The sequence below is a fragment of the Homo sapiens genome, chromosome 12, assembly GCF_000001405.40.
Source record: "Homo sapiens chromosome 12, GRCh38.p14 Primary Assembly".
NCBI classification, from domain to species: domain Eukaryota; kingdom Metazoa; phylum Chordata; class Mammalia; order Primates; family Hominidae; genus Homo; species Homo sapiens.
Genome location: NC_000012.12, coordinates 32,429,728 through 32,453,029, shown reverse-complemented (window position 1 = coordinate 32,453,029; position 23,302 = coordinate 32,429,728). Strand labels below are relative to the sequence as shown.

Sequence of the window (23,302 nt, the reverse complement as noted above, 5' to 3'; positions counted from 1 at the left end):
AAAGTTCAATAAAATTGTGTATCTAGTGCATTCTCATTTTTTGAGACAGAATCTCACTCTGTTGCCCAGGCTGGAGTGCAGTGGCACAATCACTGCTCATTGCACCCTCGACCTGCTAGGCTCAAGCCATCTCCCACCTCAGCCTGCTGAGTAACTGGGACTAGAGGCATGCACCACCATGCCCAGCTAATTTTTTCATTTCTTGAAGAGACAGAGTATCTGTATGTTGCCCAGGCTGGTCTTGAACTCCTGGGCTCACTCACATGATCTTCCTGCTTCGGCCTCCCAAAGTGCTGGGATTACAGACGTGAGCCACTGCGCCCCACTTATTCTTTACCATAATACACTCTTGGCTATTAAGAGTCATAGGGTTCAAAGGACAACAGTAGACTAGAATTCAAAGCAAGGAGAATGCTCAAATAAAATCATTCACCTACCATGTGATCACTGAAGCTTTACTTTTTGTGTAAATCTAACCAATTCAGCCAGTTGTATTACTTTGCAGTGTAACTGCATTTACAAATTGATATACCTACACTCAGATTAATCACTTCTTCAGTAGCTTCCTACTTGTCTACCAATATTTAAATATTGTCTATCAAAAATTCATTCATAGACAAATGAATGCATTAACTTGCTTTTGGAGGAACAGTTATCTGCCCACTGATGGCTGCAACACTGACCACTAGATTCATTACGATTGAGAGATGATATCTGAATTCTGTCTGGTACTTACTGGCAATGAGAATTCCACAAAAATTTCTATGTACCACAGGCAAAGACATAAATTTTTTTCCTATACAACTGTTTCCCAAATCACTGAAAAATAATAGTGAAACAGGATGGCTTCCAGAAGAGTTACTTCAGTAGAATAGACTTAACAAAAGGAAATGTAAAGAAGAAAAAGAACTTTAAAGTCAGCATGCTTTTTAATCAGTCAGAACCTTGGGAGTCATTAAACAATTGTTCACAGAGTGTCCACATTTACGTAGCTTCCTATAAATTAGGGTAAGCGCATAGAATAAAAAACATTCAGGAAGTTCTATTGTCCAACAAAGTGACTTGTTTTTGAAGAAGGATCTCCACGGGAACATAGCTCGGGCAGGTAGGAAACTCTGTTATTGTTATCTTTAGAATATCAGCATGATCTTAAGTAGTAACTTACTTTTTTTTTTTTTTTTTTTTTTTTTTTTTTGAGATGGAGTTTCGCTTTTGTTGCCCAGGCTGGAGTGCAATGGAGTGATCTCAGCACTGCCACTATACCCGGCTAATTTTTTGTGTTTTTAGTAGAGACGGGGTTTCGCCATGTTGGCCAGGCTGGTCTTGAACTCCTGACCTCGGGTGATCCACCCGCCTCGGCCTTCCAAATCCCTCCTGGGATTACAGGTGTGAGCCATCGAGCCCGGCCTTAAGTAGTAACTTTCAAACCTCATGCATTTTTCAAAGAAAAAAAAGACCTTTCTAAGGAATAACAAACACAAAAGAAACTAAATCACTAATGGTGATCTCTTTGATATAATTTTAAAATCAGAGAATCATAAATTTTGTGATAGTCTAGTTCTATTGGGCACTCTGATATGATTACAGACTCCATGCAATCCATAATCATGAGGATCACAGGCAGACACATGGGACTTTTAAGCAGGGTCTAACATCTTTGCATTTTATGTTGTTGTAGAAACATATGGCTTTACTACTTATACCTTAAAAAGTACTACATATAACATTTATGTAACATATCACGAGCTGTCTAATAATAATGTGCATAACCATTGATATGAGAATCAATACCCACAGGTAAATATATTCATCACTATAGTAGTTAAGGACAAAACAAACAAAAAGAAAATTAATTAGATAGAAGGACTGACCAAAAAAATGCAATTTAAGGTTAAAGGAGATAGGCAAGACCTCAATAAGAACTTTTGCTCTTTGCAAAGCTTCACCCAAATTATAAGCGAAGTCTAGTCCTTGTAGATGTGTCACACTTAAAAAGAGAACCAAGTGCAAGCCAAGTGAGGAGGGTGTGTCCATGTGGCAGTCACTGCAGCACAGGATGTCAGGCAGGGCCCAAGTGTATAGGACATCTGCACAGAGGGAGGGAGCAGCAGCAATGGGAGACTGGTTACACAGAGCAGGATTGACTAAGTAAGTAAGTTAGGGATAAAGGAACCAGGTTTCTCATTTTCAGGAAAAGAAGTTACAAATGGGGCAAGGGAGAAAACTGGAATGAATCCTGTGGTAAGATCAGAAGTGGATATGTCAGTATGAACAATTCATGACTTTTAGAGAGAGAGACAACATGTAAATGTGTACGTGTGTATGAATATATTCCCTACCTTTGTTCACCAAGAAAGCCTGAAAGGAGAAACAACCTTTGATCATACTTAGCAGACAGATCTTGGTTTGTATACACCCTTTTCCACTAAGAAACCAGGGCTCTTGGAGAAATCGCTGATTCTAGTAACAGGGTAGGGAAGAACAAGATGAGCCTAGAACATCTTGTGTCAGCTAGACATGCTCAAAGAATTATAAGAACTTGTCAAAAGAGAACAGAAGCCAGCTTGAAAGGGAAGTAAAAGATTATAATTTATTAGGAAATGGTGACTACACACTGATATAAATGAATAAACTTAAAGTGTGATAAAAAAAATAGGTGGCCTGGCATGGTGGCTCATACCTGTAATCCCAGCACTTTGGAAGGCTAAGGCAGGAGGATCTCCTAAATCCGAGAGTTCAAGACCAGCCTGGGCAACATGGCAAGACACTGTCTCCACAAAAATTTAAAAAATAAAAATAGGCCAGGTGCAGTGGCTCATGCCTGTAATCCCAGCAGTTTGGGAGGCTGAGGCAGGCAGATCACGAGGTCAGGAGATCGAGACCAGCCTGGCCAATATGGTGAAACCCCGTCACTACTAAAAATACAAAAATTAGCCAGGCATGGTAGCACGTGCCTGTAATCCCAGCTACTTGGGAGGCTGAGGCAAAAGAATCGCTTGAACCAGGGAGACGGAGGTTGCAGTGAGCTGAGATCGCACCATTGCACTCCAGCCTGGGTGACGGAGCAAGACTCCATCTCAAAAAAATAAAATAAATAAAATAAAAAAAAATAAATAAAAATAAATTAGCTGGGCATAGTGGTACATGCCTGTGGAACCAGCTACTTGGGAGACTAAAGTGAGAAGATCCCTTGAGCCCGGGAGGTCAAGGCAGGAAGTAAGGTGTGATTGCACCACTGCACTTTAGGCTGGGCAACAGAGCCAGACCCTGTCTCAAAAGAAAAGAAAAGAAATGAAACAGTTACATAGTCTTAAAGTTACTTCCCCACAAAATATTACAAAGAAGAAAAGAAATTTCACACTGGAGAAGCCAGGCAGACACCACCTTAATCAAGTGATCAAAGTAACAGCATCAATAATGGGACAAACAGAAATCATAAGTCACCTGATAAGATGCAATTAGAACACAGCATCAGTTCTATGACAGTCCCATCAAAGATGTCTAACCTGAATTCAATCACAAGGAAACCTCAGATAAACCCAAGTTTAAGGACATTCTACAAAACATTTGGCCTTTCACCTCTGGGTCATAAAAGTCAAGGAAAGACTAAGGATCTGTCCCAGGCTATAGGAACCTAAATAGACAGGATACTAAAAGCAATGGGTAATCCTGAAATTGATCCTTTTGCCATGAAGGGCATTATTGGTGCAACTGGTGAAACTTTAAATGGGATCTGGGAATTACATGGTAATAATGGATCAATGTTAACTTCCTGGTTTTGATAGCTATATTACAGCTATGTAGGTGCATGTCCTTGTTTGTTAAGACAAAAAAACAAAGGCACTAAATATACAGAAATGATGGGGCAGTGGGTAACTTACTATTAAATCAATTAGGAAAAAAAAATTTCTGTATATTTGAGATAGTTTTTGAAATTAAAAAATAATATATAGGAACCACATCTCGTGTAATTACCTGACTTTGATATCTCAGTTTCTCAGTCTATAAATGTTAATACTGTCTATCTCTCCAAGAGCATTATGAAGATGATTAAGTTACATAAAAATACAACATTTAGTTCACTTAGTGGAACGAAGGTTTTATTTATTATTTAATGTATTCATGTTCTAACCACACTTTGGAAACAGTCTAATCTGTCTCAGGAGCTGTCTCATGGTTTCTGGTTTTCCCCAGTTTTACCTTGCACTCCCTCCCACACATCCTCTCCTATACTGCAGCCTACAGGAAGTGATGAGGCTGCTCCTGTGTTACCGGACTGCTTCCCTTCTATCTTCTTTCCTTCCCCCTGCTAAACACACATTCCTACCTCAAGTCCAAGCTCAATCACCCCTTTTTCTTTTTTTTTTTTTTGCGATGGAGTTTCATTATTTGTTGCCCAGGCTGGAGTGCCGTGGCGCGATCTCAGCTCACTGCAACCTCTGCTTCCTGGGTTCAAGCAATTCTCCTGCCTTAGCCTCCCAAGTAGCTGGGATTACAGGCATGTGCCACCGCACCTGGCTAATTTTGTATTTTTAGTAGACACAGGGTTTCACCATGTTGGTCAGGCTGCTCTCGAACTCCTGACCTCAGGTGATCCACTCGCCTCAGCCTCCCAAAGTGCTAGGATTACAGGGGTGAGCTACCCGCGCCCAGCCAAGCACCCCTTTTTCTATGAGTCCATATGACTCTGCTCCATTTGCTCAGACAAAAATGATGGCTCCCTTCCCTTCTTTGTACTCCCACTGTACTTTCTACATCTATCCATCCTAATACCTCTAACACCATATTGCACTGTGATCTGCTTCCAGTCATTTTCCCTCTAAGATCATGGCTTACTTGCTGGCATGAACTCAAGCTCATCTTATGAATCAATCAAAGTGAATGAATGAGCAAGTGAGGGCATCCAAGAGGCCATGGTTAACATCTGCAGCATCTGAAGACTTGGGGACAGATCAGACATTCAAATCTATTCTTGCTGAACAGTTCGTCTTGTACCAATGTTCTTTCCTTCTGTAATGGGTAAAGGTTTTAGGGTTTGTTCCTTCCCCAACACAGACACAAAAACAAACAGTGAAAATATACACCTTCTGCCTCTAATAATGACCACAGAAAAAATAGGTGTACTTCTCTCTTACATATATTTCAACCAACAAATATTTGAGTGCCTGCTATGTGTGAAGCACTGTAGTAGATGCTAAGGACTCAAGTGAACAAATCAGACACGGTGTACTGAAGGGAGGGACAGCATTTTTGTTTGTATGTTTCAAACCTTGCCCTATCACGTATTTAACCAAGTTACACTTCTCTAATTTAGGCAAATAACAAAGCAAGTCATTCAGCATAAGTGATCTGACCTGTGTCACTGAGCGAATTTGGATGGCTCAGGACTAGAATGCTAAACCTTTCAGTTGTACATTTAATTCTGAGTTGTATCAGGTTATCTCATATATTACAAATGGGCCATCTCATTTAATACAACATGATACTGTAAATATTATAACTGTGTCACCTTAAGTCGGGAATCTAATGTTTAAAAAGAATGACAGTAAATTTTAACTCTGGAAAGGTTAAAGGTTAAAAGAATAAGTTTAGTAGCCTCTATTTGAGTCAACCAACCACACCCCATAAACTACTCACTGAGAAATGTAAAAATGGTTCTAAAACATGAAAGTCCAGTGAAGGAATAACAAAATTTAAGGGACCAAAGATTTAAATTTGTCCAATCCTAAGCCAATATCCTTTTTAAGGTAAGGGGTACAAGCAAGGGTTTTATTTTCAGCCTAATGACTCCCCAGATAAAATGGGTGACTACCTATAAAATAGTGGCAGCTCCACTACACAGAAAAATTTTCTCAAAGGAGTCATCGGTCTGGATGAGCTAGGAGACATGCCTTAAAGAAGCTTTCTCACAGCTTTGTATTTTCATAGTTTCCTTTAACCTATATGATTTATTTTGGGGGGTTTTGTGTGTATATAGGGACTCAAACAAAATAAAGGGACAGCTTTGCCTTATCCTTTTGTTACCTGGAACATTTCCACAGCCCAAGGCTGCTAACACACTGAACTGTCTGCTGCTCACAATAACTGGACTGTGCTTCCGGCTCTGGGCAGGATGCATGCCCCTCATTGCACCACTGCTAAATCCTACCTGTGCTCCAGGAACCAGATCAACATCACTTCCTGTACGCGCTGTTCCTCAGTGTCCCCACTGCAGGTCTTTGGTATCTCTACGCGCTCTAGGCATTATCACTTTTAAGCTTGTAGAACAAGGTATTGTGTCCTGTTTCTCCTCAGAATCACGCGCATGCTGTTGATAGGGCTCAGGACATGCTACTCCAAAATATGGCACGCTGGCACTTGAGGAAACAGCAAAAGCAGGAAGTTTGTTTCCTGTTTCCATGCCTCTTCTTCCCTGAAGCAGACCATAAAACCTAACTGACCTTTCCCTGATGTAGGTCTTAACAGCCTCATTTCAGGAACTGTTCCTATACCCGGAGGAAAGGAATGTCTTTATCTCTGTAGACACAGGGACACAGAAAAGAATCTGAACAAACAGGCCTTGCTAAGTACCCCTCGACCGTGTGTACTGCCATTAGACATAACCCCCGTATTCATCATACTGAAGCCTCCGCCTCTTAGTTACTGTTACATTGGGCTTCAGGTTTCAACATATAAATGTTGAGGGGGTGAGGGTGGGGGCTGGGCGACACAAACACTCAGACCCTAGCAGTGCACCAGCCATGAACCTTGTAATGAGTGGGGTTAAAAAAAAGACATTACTTTTTCTACCCTACCTTGTCTAGGCCATTCGAACTAGCCCACAGGCATGTTTCCCTTGGTCCACAAAACAAAGTAACATTTTATTTTTATTTTTTGAGACAAGGTCTCACCGCAGTTGCCCAGGCTGGAGTGCAGTCGCCTGATCTCTGGCTCACTACAGCCCTGACCTTCTAGGGTCAGGTGATTCTCCCACCTCAGTCTCCTGAGTAGCTGGGACTACACACCGGGCTAACTTTTTGTATTTTTAGTAGAGACGGGGTTTCTCCAGTTGCCAAGGCTGGTCTCGAAGTCCTGGACTTAAACAATCTGCCCACCTTGGCCTCACAAAGTGCTGGGATTACAGGTGTGAGTCACAGCACCCAGTCCAAAGTAACATTTTTAAATTAGCTACAAATGAAGGAATTTTAAATAAAATTCCAGTCTTTGGACTTTTCTTGCAAATTTGTTCCATAGGTAGAAGGTCCTTACAGTTATTTTGAATCTGTGTTTAACAAAGAAATTTTAGGCCCTTGGAAATAGTGTGTATCTTATTCATAACTTGCAGTATAGCCCAACTCCCAGTCTTGAATTATGCTTCATTCCACAAAATGACTGCTTATATGACCATTTGAAATGTGTAAATTCAATTTCAAAATAGCCAATGCACAGAGGCCCATTGATGAAATGCAATAAATATGTTTTCCAACTGCCATTTTCAGCATTCACAGAAACAACAGATTTTATTCAATAATCCTATCATGAGATGTGTTCTTCAGTCCTCACCCAAATAAAAAGCCATTGTCTTACAGACAATCCCCAATTTGCAACCTAATCATTCCTAAGCAATGGTCCACGAGTAAATCAAAGTCAAATTTCCTAAAAACCTATTTTATACCACAGAAATGGCAAAATAAGATGAAGAGAGGAAAATCTCAATGAGGACTTTTTACAAATATTAAACATATAAAAATTTATTTTAAAACAGTCACATTATGAATATTGTATTCCTTTCAAAGGATTTCTTTCTTGTAAGGACTAGCCAGACTGAGATTTCCCTAAATACTTTACTAGGCACCTACTTCTTTCTCTAGCAAATCTTATGAAGGCAAGAGTGGGCTGTTCTGTCTCTTTAAGGACCTTTGAACTACCTTCACACTTCATTTGTCTCACATTCTTTCACGGTTAATTCATCACTTTTGGCACACACCCAAAAGTCTCCATCTGGTAAATGTTACAGGAAGGTACATATCTGCATGGAACTTACTCATCAATGACCCTTGCTATTCTATCTCGATTTTGCTAAATGTTGGTAAATGATATTCTAATAAGTCAAACATATCTATTAATAATATCAATCACCATTTCAAATATATTCATTACACAATTTGGTAGAAAGCATTTACATTATTACAAATTTGGAACGGCGTGTCTACTTAAAGGTTGGCAAATCTTTCTGCTGAATTCTGAAGAAATACCCACCCATCCTTTATCTTCACCTCAGGTCTCACCTTGCCACAATTAAGCACTTTTTGAAAGGAGAAAATTCTTGTCAAAAATCATTGCTTAGGCCATGCGCAGTGGCTCACACCTATAATCTCAGCACTTTAGGAAGCCGGGGCGGGTGGGTCACCTGAGGTCAGGAGTTCGAGACTAGCCTGGCCAACATGGTGAAACACCGTCTCTACTAAAAATACAAAAATTAGCTGGGTGTGGTGATGGGCGCCTGTAATCCCAGTTACTCGGGAGGCTGAGGCAGGAGAATCACTTGAACCCGGGAGACGGAGATTGTGGTGAGCCGAGATTGCACCACTGCACTCCAGCCTGAGCAACAAGAGCAAAAATCCATCTCAAAAACAAAAAACAAAACAAAAAAAAATTGCTTAATTCAGAGTTCCATGGAACTGCATTAAAACAAGTCAAAGTTTTCTATCTTGAAAATCAGCCTGTTGGCTGGGTGCAGTGGGTCACGCCTGTAACCCCAGCACTTTGGGAAGCCAAGGTGGGAGATCACTTGAACCCAGGAGTTCAAGACTAGCCTGGGCAACATAGTAAGACCCTGTCTCTATAAAAAATTTTAAAATGTGCCAGGTGTGGTGGCTCATGCCTGTAGTTCCAGCTTCTTGGGAGGCTGAGGTGGAGCATTGCGTGAGCCTGGGAGGTCGAGACTGCAGTGAGCCATGATGGCACCACTGTACTCCAGCTTGGGCAACAGAGTGAGACCCTGTCTCAAAAAAAAAAAAAAAAAAAAAGAAAACAAAGTCAGCCTGTCCACTTTACATGGGTGAATTGTATAATATGTGAACTACATCTCCATAGAATTGTTTTTCAAAATAAGTAAATCTGTCGATTTTTTAAAAATCACAACTTATTGCTTGAGTTTGGTTTTAGGCTCTTTGAAATAAATATTTTTCCTTCTTCAAAATTGTCATAATAAAATACAAAACACTGAACTTGAAGGCTGCACCATTCACTTTCATTCTGGCTTTTTTTTTTTAAAGAGAAAGACAACCTGGGCAACATAGTGATATCCCATCTCTATAAAATATACAAAAAAATTAGGGCTTCTCCATGTTTCGCCACCACTAGGTGTGGCGCTGCATTCCTGTAGTCCCAGATACTCCAGAGGATCACCTGAGCCTGGGAGTTCGAGGCTACAGTGAGCTGTGATCGCACCACTGCACTCCAGCCTGGGTGACAGAGTAAGACCCTGCCTCAAAAAAAAAAAAAAAAAAAAAACCTAAAACACAAGATCTCAGCCAGGCATGGTAGTGGCATGCCTGTAGTCCCAGCTGCTCAGGAGGCTGACGCAGGAGGACTGCTTGAGCCCAGGAGGTCAAGGCTACAGTGAGCTATGATTGCACCACTGCACTCTAGCCCAGGTGACAGAATGAGATCCCATCTCTAAAAACAACAATAAACCAAAAAAACCAGGGGTCTTGTTCTGTTGCCCAGGCTAGACTCAAACTCCTGGGCTGAAGTAATCTTCTCAAGTAGCTGGAACTACAGGCCTAGCCAATTTTTCTATTCTTGATGTCAGATTGTCAGACATAACTCCTGTTACTGTGCCTATGTCTAAAAGCACCCTACTATGGACTTATATCAAACTAAAAAGCTTCTGCACAGCCAAGGAAACAATAAGAGCAAAGAGACAACCTATGGAATGGGGGAAATATCTGCTAACCATACATCTGGTAAGAGGTTAAATCCAAAATGCATAAAGAATTCAACTCTAATAGCAAGAAAACAACCAAATTAAAACATGGGCAAAATACCTGAATAGACATCTGTCAAGACAACAAATGGCCAACAGATATATGAAAAATGCTCAACATCATTAATCAGAGAAACACAAATTAAGACCACAATGAGCTATCATCTCACACCTGTTAGAATGGCTACTATAAAAGATGGAAGCCTGGACACAGTGGCTCATGCCTGTAATCCCAACACTTTGGAAGGCCTAGGCAGGTGGATCACCTGGGCTCAGGAGTTCGAGACCAGCATGGGCAACATGGTGAAACTCTGTCCCTACAAAAAATACAAAAAATTAGCTGGGTGTGGTGGTGTGCCTGTAATCCCAGCTACTCGGGAGGCTGAGACAGGAGAATTGCTTGAACCCGGGAGGCAGAGGTTGCAGTGAGATCGCACCACTGCGCCCCAGCCTTGGAGACAGAGTGAAACTCCATCTCCAAAAAAAAAAAAAAAAAAAGGATGAAAGATGGGAGAGGCAGAGCAAGATGGCAGAATAGAAAGCTCCATCTATCACCCCACCCCACCACAAGGACACCAAGTTAACAACAATCTACACAGAAAAAAACACCTTCATAAGAACCAAAAGTCAGGTAAGCACTCACAGTACCTGGTTTTAACTTCATATCACAGTGAAACATGCACTGAAGAGACAGAAAAAACAGTCCTGGCCGGGCGCAGTGGCTCACATCTGTAATCCCAGCACTTTGGGGGGCTGAGGTGGGTGGATCACAAGGTCAGGAGATCAAGACCATCATGGCTAACACGGTGAAACCCCGTCTCTACTAAAAATACAAAAAATTAGCCAGGTGTGGTGGCACATGCCTGTTGTCCCAGCTACTTGGGAGGCTGAGGCAGGAGAATCACTTGAACCCAGGAGGCGGAGGTTGCAGTGAGCCGAGATTGCACCACTGCACTCCAGCCTGGGTGACACAGCGAGACTCCGTCTCCAAAAAAAAAACCAAAAAAAAAAAAAAACACAACAACACTCCTGAATTGCCAGCACCACCCTTCCCCCACCCTGAGAGCAGCAGCATGGCGTGAAGAGCATCTCTGGACACTGGAGGAGAAGACAACAATTTTGAGGCATTGAACTCAGTGCTGTCCTGTTAGAGCAGAAAAGAAAACCAGACCAAACTCAGCAGACCCCTGCCCACAGAGGGAGCGTTTAAACCAGCCCTAGCCAGAGGGGAATCGCCAATCCCAGTGCCCACAAACCTAGGGCCAAAGTGCTTTTGGTCTCTAAGTAAACTTGAAAGGCAGTCTAGGTCACAAGGACTGCAACTTCTAGGTGAGTCCTAGGGCTGAACTAGGCCCAGAGACAGTGGACTAGGGGGACAAGCAACATACTAAGATACAAACTAGTGCAGCCAAGGGAGTGCTGGCATTACCCCTCCCCTAATTCCAGGTTGCGCAGCTTGCAGCTCCAAAAGAGACACCTTTCTTCTGCTTGAGGAGGAAAAAGCGGGGAGGACGTTATCTTGCATTTTGGACACCAGCTTAGCCATAGCAGGAAAGGGCACCGTAGTCAGAGTCACCAGTCCAGAGTCAAGAGGCCCCTGTTCCAGGCCCTAGTTCCCAGATTACACTTCTAGACACATCCTGGGTCACAAGGGAACCCGCTGCCTTGAAGGAAAGGACCCAGTCCTGGCAGCATTCATCACCAGCAAAGTGAAGAGACTTTAGACGCTGAATAACCAGCAGAGATACCCAGGTACTACACTGAGGGCTTTGGGTAGCCACTGAGACTTGCTGACTTCAGGCAAGGCTCAGCACATTACCAGATGTGACAGCTACAGGGCAAAACTGCTGCTTGAGAAAAGCAGAGGGAAAAGTAAAGGGGACTTCATCTTGCACCTTAGGTACCAACACTGCCACAGGAGGGTAGAGCATCAAGCGAGCTCTTGGGGTCCCTGGTTCCAGACCCTGACTCTTGGATGGCATTTCTGGACCTGCCCAGGCCAGAGGGGAGCCCACTTCCCTGAAGGGTGAGTCCCAGGCCAGGCAGCATTCACCACAGGCTGACTTAAGAGACCTTGGGCCTTAAAGGAACATCAGTAGTAGTCTGGCAGTACTCTTTGTGGCAAGGGGTGGCAGTGGCTATGGGATGAGGCTCTTCTGCCTTTGGAAAAGGGAGGGAAGAGTAGGAAGGACTGCATCTGGTGGTTTGAGTGCCAGCTCAGCTGCAATACACTAGATTACCAGGTAGACTTCTAAGGTTTTTGATTCTAGTTCCTGACTTCTGGCTGTGGGGGACCTTGCCGCCCTGAAGGGAATGGCACAGGCCTGGCTGGTTTAGCCACTTGCCAACTGCAGAGACCCAGGGCCTTGAGCGAACATAGGCAGCAGCCAGGAAGTAGTTATAGCAAACCTTGGGCAAGATCCAGTGCTCTCCTGGCTTCAAGTCTGACGCCGTGTAGTCATAGTGGTAGTGGCCACAGGGGTTCAGTTATAGTGGTGGTCACAGGGGTCACTCTACCCCCAGCTTTATGTGGCTCAGAACAGAGACAGGGACTCTGTATGTTTGGGAGAAAGTAAGGGAAGACAACAGGAGTCTCTGCCCGGTGATCCAGATAATTTTGCCGAATCTTGTCCAAGATCGTCAAGGTGGCATTATACCTCTATGAGTCTGCAAGAACCACAGCATTACTGAGCTTGGGGTGCCCCCTAAAGCAGAAACAGCTTAGATCACAACAGCCACATCCTTTCAAATACCTGAAAAGCCTTCCCAAGAAGGATGGGCACAAACAAGCCCAGACAAGGAAGACTACAATAAATACCTAACTCTTCAATGCCCAGATACTGAAGAACATCTACGAGCATCAGCGGCATCCAGGGAAACATGACCTCACCAAATGAACTAAATAAAGCTCCAGGGACCAATCCTGGAAAAACAGAGATATGTGACCTTTCAGACAGTGAATTCACAATAGCCGTGTTGAGGAAACTCAAAGAAATTCAAAATAACATAGAGAAGGAATTGATAATTCTATCTGATAAATTTAACGGAGATTGAAATAATTAAAAAGAATCATGCAGAAGTTCTGGAGCTAAAAAATGTAATTGGCATCAGGGTCTTTTATTAGCAAAATAGATTAAGCAGAAGAATTAGTGAGCCTGAAGATAGGCTATTTGAAAACACACACAAGAGACTAAAGAAAAAAAAAATGAAGCACACCTACAGGATCTAGAAACTAGCCTCAAAAGGGCAAATCTAAAAGTTATTGGCCTTAAAGAGGAGGCAGAGAGAGCGATAGGAGCAGAAAGTTTATTCAGTGGGATAATAACAAAGAATGTCTCAAACATGGAGAAAGATATCAATATCCAAGTAAAAGGTTACAGAACACCAAGCAGATTTAACCCAAAGAAGACTACCTCAAGGCATGTAATAAACTCCCAAGGGTCAAGGACAAAGAGAAAAAGGAAATCTTGTACATTGCTGCTAGTAATGTAAATTAGTATAGCCATTATGGGAAACAGTATGAAGGTTCTTCAAAAAATTATAAATAGAATGGCCATATAATCCAGCAATCTCACTACTGGGTAACTGGGTATGTATCCAAAGGAAATGAAATCAGTATGTCAGAGTTATCTGCATCCCCATGTTCACTGCAGCACTATTCACAATAGCCAAGATATGGAATCAACCTAAGTGTTCAGCAACAGCTGAATAGAAAATGTGGCATAGATACACAAGGGAATACTATTCGGCCTTTAAAAATAAAGAAATTATGTCATTTGTAACAAGATGGATGAATCTGGACAGCATTATGTTATAAGCCAGACACAAAATGACAAATACTGCATGATCTCAACTATATGTGGAATCTGTAAAAGTTAAACTCATAGAAGTTGAGAGTAGAATAGTAGTTACCAGGCACTGGGAGTTGGGGGTGCAGTTTTGGGGAAATGTTTGGTCAAAGGATACAAAATTTCAGTTGGATAGGAAGAATAAGTTCAATAGATCTATTGTACAACATGATATCTATAATAATTATTAGTAAATTATAAGTGAGGTAATACATATGTTAATTAGCTCGATCAAAAAATGAAGACACTGGTCAAATCGATCGAATCATTCCACAACGTATTCATATTTTAAAACATGTTGTAGGGCCGGGCGCAGTGGCTCACGCCTGTAATCCCAGCACTTTGGGAGGCCAAGGCAGGCGGATCACGAGGTCAGGAGATCGAGACCATCCTGGCTAACATGGTGAAACCCCGTCTCTACTAAAAAAAACACAGAAAATTAGCTGGGCGTGGTGGCGGGCTCCTATAGTCCCAGCTCCTCAGGAGGCTGAGGCAGGATATTGGCGTGAACCCGGGAGGTGGAGGTTGCAGTTGAGATCGCGCCACTGCACTCCAGCCTGGGTGACAGAGCGAGACTCCATCTCAAAAAAAAAAACACACACAAACAAACAAACAAAAAACATGTTTTAGGTGACTAGTATATAAAATTTGACAATTAAAAAAACAACTAAAAGCATCCTCCTGTGTCCACTTACTTACAGATACATTCACATACCTCTCCTAATTTCAACTGCTCAAGGCAGTTGAAACCTAAAAGCAAGCTTATTGAAGAATCTGCTAAGAGAAGGCTAACATTTTGAATAAAGTACAGTAAGTACAGAGTTTTCAACTTTATCTTAACGGCAGATATTTTTACCTTTGTCATCTTCAGCTGATGTCTTAGGAGTTAACTGTTATCCCAAGTCCGCTCTATGGAAGTGCAGTATTGTTAGATGCTATACCTCTCCAAACCATTTCAATAAGGCAAGTGAGAAGTCAGTATTTTCTAAGATGGGAAGAAATGGTTCAAGAACCATTCCTGGCCAGACGCGGTGGCTCACGCCTATAATCCCAGCACTTTGGGAGGCCCAGGCAGATGGATCACTTGAAGTCAAGAGTTTGAGACCAGACTGGCCAACACAGCGAAACCCAGTCTCTACTAAAACTATAGAAATTACCCGGACATGATGGCGTATGCCTGTAGCCCCAGCTACTCAGGAGGCTGAGGCAGAAGAATCGCTTGAACCCGAGAGTAGAGCCTGCAGTGAGCTGAGATTGCGCCACTGCACTCCAGCCTGGGTGACAGAGCAAGACTCTGTCTCAAAGAAAAGATCCATTCCTGCATAGTCCTACCTACAACACAGGAGACCAATAACAATGTAAAAAAATAATTTTCCCAGTGGCCAAGAATGTTATCAGTGGTATATACAATGTATCAGTGGTATTGTGTGGTATGCAGGGTAAGATGAAATAGTATTCAACATCAATAGCAGGATTATGTCTAGAAAAAATTTTGCTTTTACTAAAAATGAAAAGACACTGGTCAAATGCAAACCATCCAAAGAGTAACAGGGAATTCATATTACATGTTAATATAACATTACTTTCTAAGACTTTAGGAACAAATAAAAACATCTGCTTATGTGAAATCTGCTGGTTTTACTCAATGAATACCACGGATATCCGTGTAGTGAAGCTCTGGTAGTTGCTACATGAGCTTTATCAAACATCTTTAAAAAGGCCTGGGCCAGGCTGCCCAGTAACACATCTGGGTGCGGTTGGACACCTCGCCTCGCTCATCGTATAGGGAGCATAAAGAGCCTCCGTGCTCAGCCACGTGTAGCTGACATGGATTTCCTGAGCAGAGGGCTTTTCTTTCTTTTATGGGTGTCCCAGCTTCTTCAAGACCTTCACTACTCTGCCTCAATGAACAGTCATTTCTGTTTTGAGGTGTAACCTTTTGTTTTCATACCTTCAGCTTGAAGTCATCCTATGTTTTGTAATCAGCCGTCTGGCCAAACGTCTGACCCGAAAGAGAATGTATTTACATTCCTGCTGCATTGTTCAGCAGCCCCTTCATGTTCTGTGTGATTTGTTTTCTTTTTCCCTTTTTTTTTTTTTTTTGACATGGAGTCCCACTCTGTCACCCAGACTGGGGTGCAGTGGTGCAATCTCGGCTCACTGCAAACTTCACCTCCCAGGTTCAAGCAATTCTCCTGCCTTAGCCTCCCACATAGCTGGGACTACAGGCGCCCGCCACCATGCCTGGCTAATTTTAGTAGAGACAGGGTTTCACCATGTTGGCCAGGCTGGTCTCGAACTCCTGATCTCAAGCTATCCACCTGCCTTGGCCTCCCAAATTGCTGGGATTACAGGCATGAGCCACCATGCCTGGCCCCCATTTTTTGTTTTTTATATGCAGGGAAGTAATGGTACTGGTAGTGTAGGTTCACTGTGTGGTTCAAACATGAATTTCCAACACACCAAGCTGCTAATGAGATAGCAGCTTTTTTTCTGGGACCTAGTGTCATAACCAAATTGATTTAAGACCAGACCCAAGACACCTTTAACGATAGGATTAAAGGGAAAAGGGATAGGGAAAAAGCTTATTAAGAAATTTATCAACAGTAAAAGTAAAGCGGGAGAAGCACAACCAGGCGTAACACCAAACTGGTTCAAGGGAGAAACAAGGCTTTGGCATTCTGCTGGCTCCAGTGCTTCCTCTGAAACCTGAGGCTTGCCAATGTGTGGACACTGTGCAGTCTTTTATTGCAGCCATTCAATGCCCACATGTTTTGCCTTCTTGTTTCAGAAAAGCACAAAGTCACAACAAAGTATTTTCTTTCCTTCCAAAGCCTTTTGTCTCCTTGTGCCACTTTTTATCCTTAGGAAAAGATACAGGTGTTCCTGAAAAGAACCATAAATGGAACAGGGGAGGCTGGTCCTGTTGCTGTTGCTGATTAAGTTTTAAACTTTTATTTATTATTTATGTGTGCTGTATTTTAAATAAACATTCTCTCTCCTTCCACTTCCAGTCATAGTGTGCCTGTAGCATTCCAGTCCAACCACATAATTTATTTATTCTAATAGGAGGGCTACACTGTACATCACGGTGTCCAGTGACAACTTGTTCCAGACATTTACAGAAGGAAAATATCCTAGGTAAATGAAATCGTCATTCTGTGTCCTCCCCCGACAGCAGATATGTCCTTCCGTTGAGTGAGGATAACCTTATGTCCACCAAGGGTACTTTGAGAAAGTCCCTAAGGAGCAAGCTTCTGTCCCACTGTTTCAGAGTATTTATTCTTTGAACACGAAAGTATTGGTTAGTTATGTTCTCAGCTCTCCTTGCTGTTGCATTTGGGCACTCACTCACTGCAAGTAACTTAGATCTTTTTATTTGAATGAATTTTAAAGCAGTAAGTAGAATTACAAAGGAATATGAAAACCATGGACTAGATGGACCATTTTATGTAATCAGAAAGCGGGGCCACCCATCACTGCCAGAAATACCATGTAAAAATTGGCAATTCAGAGGTTGCAGTATTTAGTACAATAAATAAATAAATGATCAACATTGTGTAATCACTAACAAAAAGTGTCATAATGCACCAAAAAAATCAACAAAATTATATTCGCTAATGAGTATCAATAAAATAAGTTCGAATGATGGAAACCACAAAAAAAAGGCCAATTCCAACTTAGTCATTTAAAACACACACACACACACACACTTTTTTAATTGTAGCTAGCATTTATTGAGTACTGAATATGTAAATATATCATTTTATGAGCATTACTCTATTTAATCCTTCATAACTTCTGAAATGAGACCTTTGATTATCCTGATTTTATAAATAAACAGCCTGAGAGAAACTGACTCACCCAAATCTGTGAATTAGCAGAGGCAGCATTTGAACCCAGGCCTGTCTAACTCCTGAGCTAGATCTCTCAACTAGTTTCATTTCACTTTAAAGAAATGAAGTGGCCAGGCACGGTGGCTCACACCTGTAATCAATCCCAGCACTTTGGGAGGCCAAGGTGGGCGGATCACCTGAAGTCGGGAGTTCGAGACCAGCCTGACAAACATGGAGAAACTCCATCTCTATTAAAAATACAAAATTAGCCAGGCGTGGTGGCGCATGCCTGTAATCCCAGCTACTCGGGAGGCTGAGACAGGAGAATCACTTGAACCCGGGAGGCAGAGGTAGCGGTGAGCCAAGACTGTGCCACTGCACTCCAGCCTGGGCAAAAAAAAGAAAGAAAAGAAAAGAAAAAAAAAAGAAAAGAAGGAAAGAAAAGAAATGAAGCGAAGCTGCTCCTCTCAGAAAAGAAATTTGTATCATTCACCACTATATTTGATTTTTTTCATCTTATTCAATCCTCTGACTCATATATAGCACACTGACAAAATCTGGTCAAAACATCATATGGTGCCTCAACACATTGTGTAGATTTTTGCATCAGAATAAATGTGTACCTTGTTAACAAGTTAACCATGTTCTAAATGTCAATATCTACAAAAGTTTAAAGCACATTCCCATTTTTCTAGCATAAAGCAATGAGAAGGCAATTAAGTTAATGACATTCATGAAGAAATCACAGAGCTACTGGAATCACAAAAGTCATAATTTACATGAAGGAAATAACCTTCCTGAGGAATACAGTGTAATTAAGGCTTTCCTCTTTGAAAAGGCCTAACATTTCTAAGGAGCTAAGAAATGAATTTAGCCTACAAATTCAAACTTATTTTTCGTGTGTACAAAATTTATCCAACTTGAAGGGAGAAAGAAACTATTTTCAATATTCTAGCTGTAAAAAACTGTATTTAAAACTATTACTGCTCACCTGAGTCTTCGTTCTCCAATCACAGGATAATCAACTTTTCTATGAATTAGAAGCATCTAATGCAAACTCACACAGAACAAATTACCAGTAAGTCTCTCCTCCATTTTATAAGCAGCGACAAAGTTTTAGAACATCATAAAAGAGCTAGGAACAGACAGGGTCTGTGAGGAACTTAGAAAATCAAGGGGAAGGCCCAGCTTGTTGTGCAATTCAGGTTTAAATATATTATCAGGCCGGGCACAGTGGTTCATGCCTGTAATCCCAGCACTTTGGGAGGCTGAGGCGGGCGGATCACGAGGTCAGGAGATCAAGACCATCCTGGCTATCATGGTGAAACCCCATCTCTACTAAAAATACAAAAATTAGCTGGGCGTGGTGGTGCATGCCTGTAGTCCTAGCTACTCGGGAGGCTGAGGCAGAAGAATCGCTTGAACCCAGAAGGCGGAGGTCGCAGTGAGCCAAGATCACGCCACTGCACTCCAGCCTGGCGACAGAGCAAGACTCCGTCTCAAAAAATAATAATAATAAATAAATAAATAAATAAGTAAATATATTATCAGGTAGTCAATCCCTTTGCTTTACAGAAGGATGTTTCATTGCATCCCATGATACAAAATTTTAAAGATGTAACTTTGTCTCAAAGCAACAATTAACAGTGATATGGCTAACTTCAATAGCTAGAATTAGAGGATGCTTCGTTACATAAAACATGTACTTTTGAAAGCTACATTAAAAAAATGCACTTTTAGGCCAGGTGCGGTGGCTCATGCTTATAATCCCAGCACTTTGGGAGGCCGAGGTGGGCGGATCACCTGAGGTCAGGAGTTCAAGACCAGCCTGGCCAACATGGTGAAACCCCGTCTCTACAAAAATACAAAAATGATGGCAGGTGCCTGTAATCCCAGCTACTCGGGAGGCTGAGGCAGGAGAATCGCTTGAACCTGGGAGGCAGAGGTTGCAGTGAGCCGAAACTGAGCCACTGAACTCCAGCCTGGGTGAAAGAGCAAGACTCCGACTCAAAAAGAAAAAAAAAGAAAAATGTATTTTTAAAGTGAATCAGCTGACAAGGAAATTTATGTTAAAGTATCTTATTCCAGGCTGGGCATGGTGGCTCAATCCCAGCACTTTAGGAAGCCGAGGCAGGTGAGTAACTTGAGGCCAGGAGTTCGATTCCAGCTTGGCCAACATGGGGAAACCCAATCTCTACTAAAAATACAAAAATTAGCGAGGTGTGGTGGTGCACACCTGTAGTCTCAGCTTTTTCGGAGGCTGAGGCATGAGAATTGCTTGAACCAGGGAGGTGGAGGTTGCAGTGAGGTAAGATTGTGCCACTGTACTCCAGCCTGGGCGACAGAGTGAGACCTTGTCTCAAAATAAAAAAAAAAAAATCTTATTCCAGAAAAATATGGAAACCAGGCAAAGAAAATATTAAAGGGGCAAGAAGGTGATAAAGTTTCTATGTAAACTAGGTTTTTATATATTGAGCTGGCATTAAAATATGTATTTTGAAAATTAGCACTCAACAGGATTTCAGTCACTCACTCATTCAATTAATTTAACAAATAATATGAGCCAGGAACTCTTCTAGGTGTTGGAGAGACAGCAAAGAACAAGACAGGTATAGTCACTGCTCTTACAATGTTAACATGAAGGTTCACGTTCATGTTAAAGGGATTCACCAAATGACTAAAAAAGTGATGAAGAACCCTTCTCTGTATATAATGCTCTCAACTTTATAAAATGAAGGGCCAACCCCTATTACTACCTTTTTTTTTTTTTTTGAGATGGAGTCTTGCTCTGTCACCCAGGCTGGAGTGCAGTGGCGCGATCTTGGCTCACTGCAACCTCCGCCTCCTGGGTTCAATCTCAGCCTCCTGAGTAGCTGGGATTACAGGAGTGTGCCATCATGCCCAGCTAACTTTTGTATTTTCAGTAGAAATGGGGTTTCACCATGTTGGCCAGGCTGGTCTCGAAATCCTGACCTCAAGTGATCCACCCGCCTCGGCGTCCCAAAATGCTAGGATTGGTCGGGCGCGGTGGCTCACGCCTGTAATCCCAGCCCTTTGGGAGGCCGAGGCAGGCGGATCACGAGGTCAGGAGATCAAGACCATCCTGGCTAACATGGTGAAACCCCACCTTTACTAAAAAATACAAAAAATTAGCTGGGCATGGTGGTGGGCGCCTGTAGTCCCAGCTGCTGGGGAGACTGAGGCAGGAGAATGGTGTGAACCCAGGAGGCAGAGCTTGCAGTGAGCCAAGATCAGGCCACTACACTCCAGCCTGGGCAACAGAGCGAGACTCTGTCTAAAAAAAAAAAAAAAAAAAAAAAAAAATGCTAGGATTACAGGCATGAGCCACTGTGCCCAACCAGGGCTCCCAATTTTAAATAAGGTGCCCAGAGACGGCCAGAAGATCCGTTTAAGTAAAGGCTCAAAGGAGATGAGCTCAATACTTTTTAAAACTTAAAAGGTTTCAAATATCTGAAACTTCATATTAGTCACACCTTTCAGGTTTACCATAAAATTCTATTTGTGTAATTGTATCAATTAACTCATGAGCAAGGAGAAAATATTAGAAGAAAAAAAGGGGAATTATTTTCTTTTTTTTTTTTTAAGACAGAATCTTGCTCTGTCACGCAGGCTGGAGTGCAGTGGCACAATCTTGGCTCACTGCAACCTCCACCTCCCAGGCTCAAGTGATCTACCCGCCTCAGCCTCCCAAGTGCCAGGATTACAGGTGTGAGCCACTGCGCCCGGCCCAGAAATTATTTTCTTAATGTATTTGTTGGGGACAGGTTGAGGGGAGATTAGATAAAGAAAAACATGCAGACATAAACTATTAAACTTTTCCAAAAGTCCACACAAAGCCTATCTTCTAAATATGCCACTACAGCATTTGCACGAACTGAGTGTAAGCAACTAGCTTTGAGACTCAAAACAAGGAGTGAGAATAAAAAACCCTTTTCCAAACGAAAAAAAGTATAAATTACACTGGGACTCAGGACCTATGCCAGAAATGGACAATTGACAAAAGATCTGAAAAAGTGGATATCCTGAAATAAGGGCTTTTGCATGTATCAGTGATACACGCAATTGCCGCCAATATAATTTTCCCGGAAGTTTACAGAAAGGGGCTATAATCAAGAGGCAGAGAAGCACCTAACACATCTGCTGCCAGCTAATCAGAGAGGATTCATGACATTATATGATGACAGCTGCTCTCTACAAGTGGGAGTTATATGATTTTTAATTTTCTATTCCTTTTTTCGACCTCTCCAATGCTCATTTTGTGGCTACAGAGAATCTCCCAGGTTAACGAAAACATACCAGTTGTTCATTCAGTTCCAAAACCTGGAAATGGACATTAGCTCTCAATGAAAATCAGCTTAGATTGGGCACCAAACTGACTTCAGAACAATGACTACCATCATTGGCAGTTTCCTCCTTGCTTCCTCCAGAACCCTTCTCCTCCTTCCCTTCTTTTCAATGTTTTCATAGGCAATGGCCTGAGTTTACCATTTTCTATAAAAGGACTACAGAGGGGCTCTAATTAGCACCCTAGTCAGTTCCCAGTCTTGAAGCTAGTTCTTCTACTTTGGACAGTATCTCTGGGTGTGAATACTCTCACTCAATTTTTTATTATACTAAGATGTTAAAAGAGTGGGGAAAGGCTTACCTAATTCTCTTAGAAAAATTCTCTTAGAAAAACATATACCAGTAAGATCATGATATTGATATATTAATATTACTTTTACACACACGCAATTATATATATCCATCCATTACAGTTTTTTTAAATAGAGTAAAAGAGGAATGAAGTTTTACCTGTTTTTGCAGAACATATAAAATTCATAAGATTCTTGAAAATAAAGATTATTCATATAACTTCAAAATTTAGTAGGTAACTGTCACCCTGCTAATGATATACGATATAATCTAGTCAAACAAGTTCCTAGAAAGCAATAGAGGATTTGAGTTAATCAAGTATTACCAAAAGTACGGTTGCCCAGCAAAGATCAGGAAACTATTTCTTGTTTCTACCTCCAGAATCTCTTCTTTCCTTTTTTTTTTCTTTTTTGAGACAGAGTCTCACTTTATCACCAAGGCTGGAGCACAGTGGTGCAATCTCAGCTCACTGCAACCTGCCCCTCCCAGGTTCAAGCAATTCTCCTGCCTCAGTCTCCCAAGTAGCTGGAATTACAGATGCCTGCTACCACACCCGGCTAATTTTTGTATTTTTAGTAGAAACGGGATTTCACCATGTTGGCCAGGCTAGTCCCAAACTCCTGACCTCAGGTGATCTGCCTGCCTCAGCCTCCCAAAGTGCTGGGATTACAGGCATAAGCCAGCGCGCCCAGCCCAGAATCTTTTCTAATAATGTTTCTGTTTCTCCTTGAAAATGTCCTTTTTTTTTTTTGGCCTCATTAACTACAGTAAACCTGATAGGAATTTGGCAGGACTCGTTTCAACAAGATGCAGGTCACAAAGACCTTGCTGATAAAACATGGTAAGAAGCAGGCCAAAACCCACCAAAACCAAGATGGCAACAAAAGAGACCTCTGGTTGTCCTCACTGCTAATTATAGCTAATTATAATTATGTATGCTAATTAGCATGCTAAAAGACACTCCCAGCAGCCAGACTGCCTCTCTAGATTTC

General features: G+C 41.9%; 1 protein-coding gene across 3 annotated transcripts in view, besides 2 other annotated features; it reads right to left on the bottom strand.

Annotated features, from left to right (window-relative positions):
• Positions 1–23,302, bottom strand: part of FGD4 (FYVE, RhoGEF and PH domain containing 4) — a 246,493-nt gene that overhangs the window by 193,021 nt on the left and 30,170 nt on the right. The window lies entirely within an intron of this gene.
• Positions 7,920–8,465: an enhancer, noted in NCBI's record as "H3K27ac-H3K4me1 hESC enhancer chr12:32597499-32598044 (GRCh37/hg19 assembly coordinates)". NCBI's record gives its function as "activates a minimal SCP1, AML or CMV promoter by ChIP-STARR-seq in naive H9 embryonic stem cells {active_cell/tissue: H9 hESC(naive)}" and the evidence as "EXISTENCE:reporter gene assay evidence [ECO:0000049][PMID:30033119]".
• Positions 15,106–15,605: an enhancer, noted in NCBI's record as "H3K27ac hESC enhancer chr12:32590359-32590858 (GRCh37/hg19 assembly coordinates)". NCBI's record gives its function as "activates a minimal SCP1, AML or CMV promoter by ChIP-STARR-seq in naive H9 embryonic stem cells {active_cell/tissue: H9 hESC(naive)}" and the evidence as "EXISTENCE:reporter gene assay evidence [ECO:0000049][PMID:30033119]".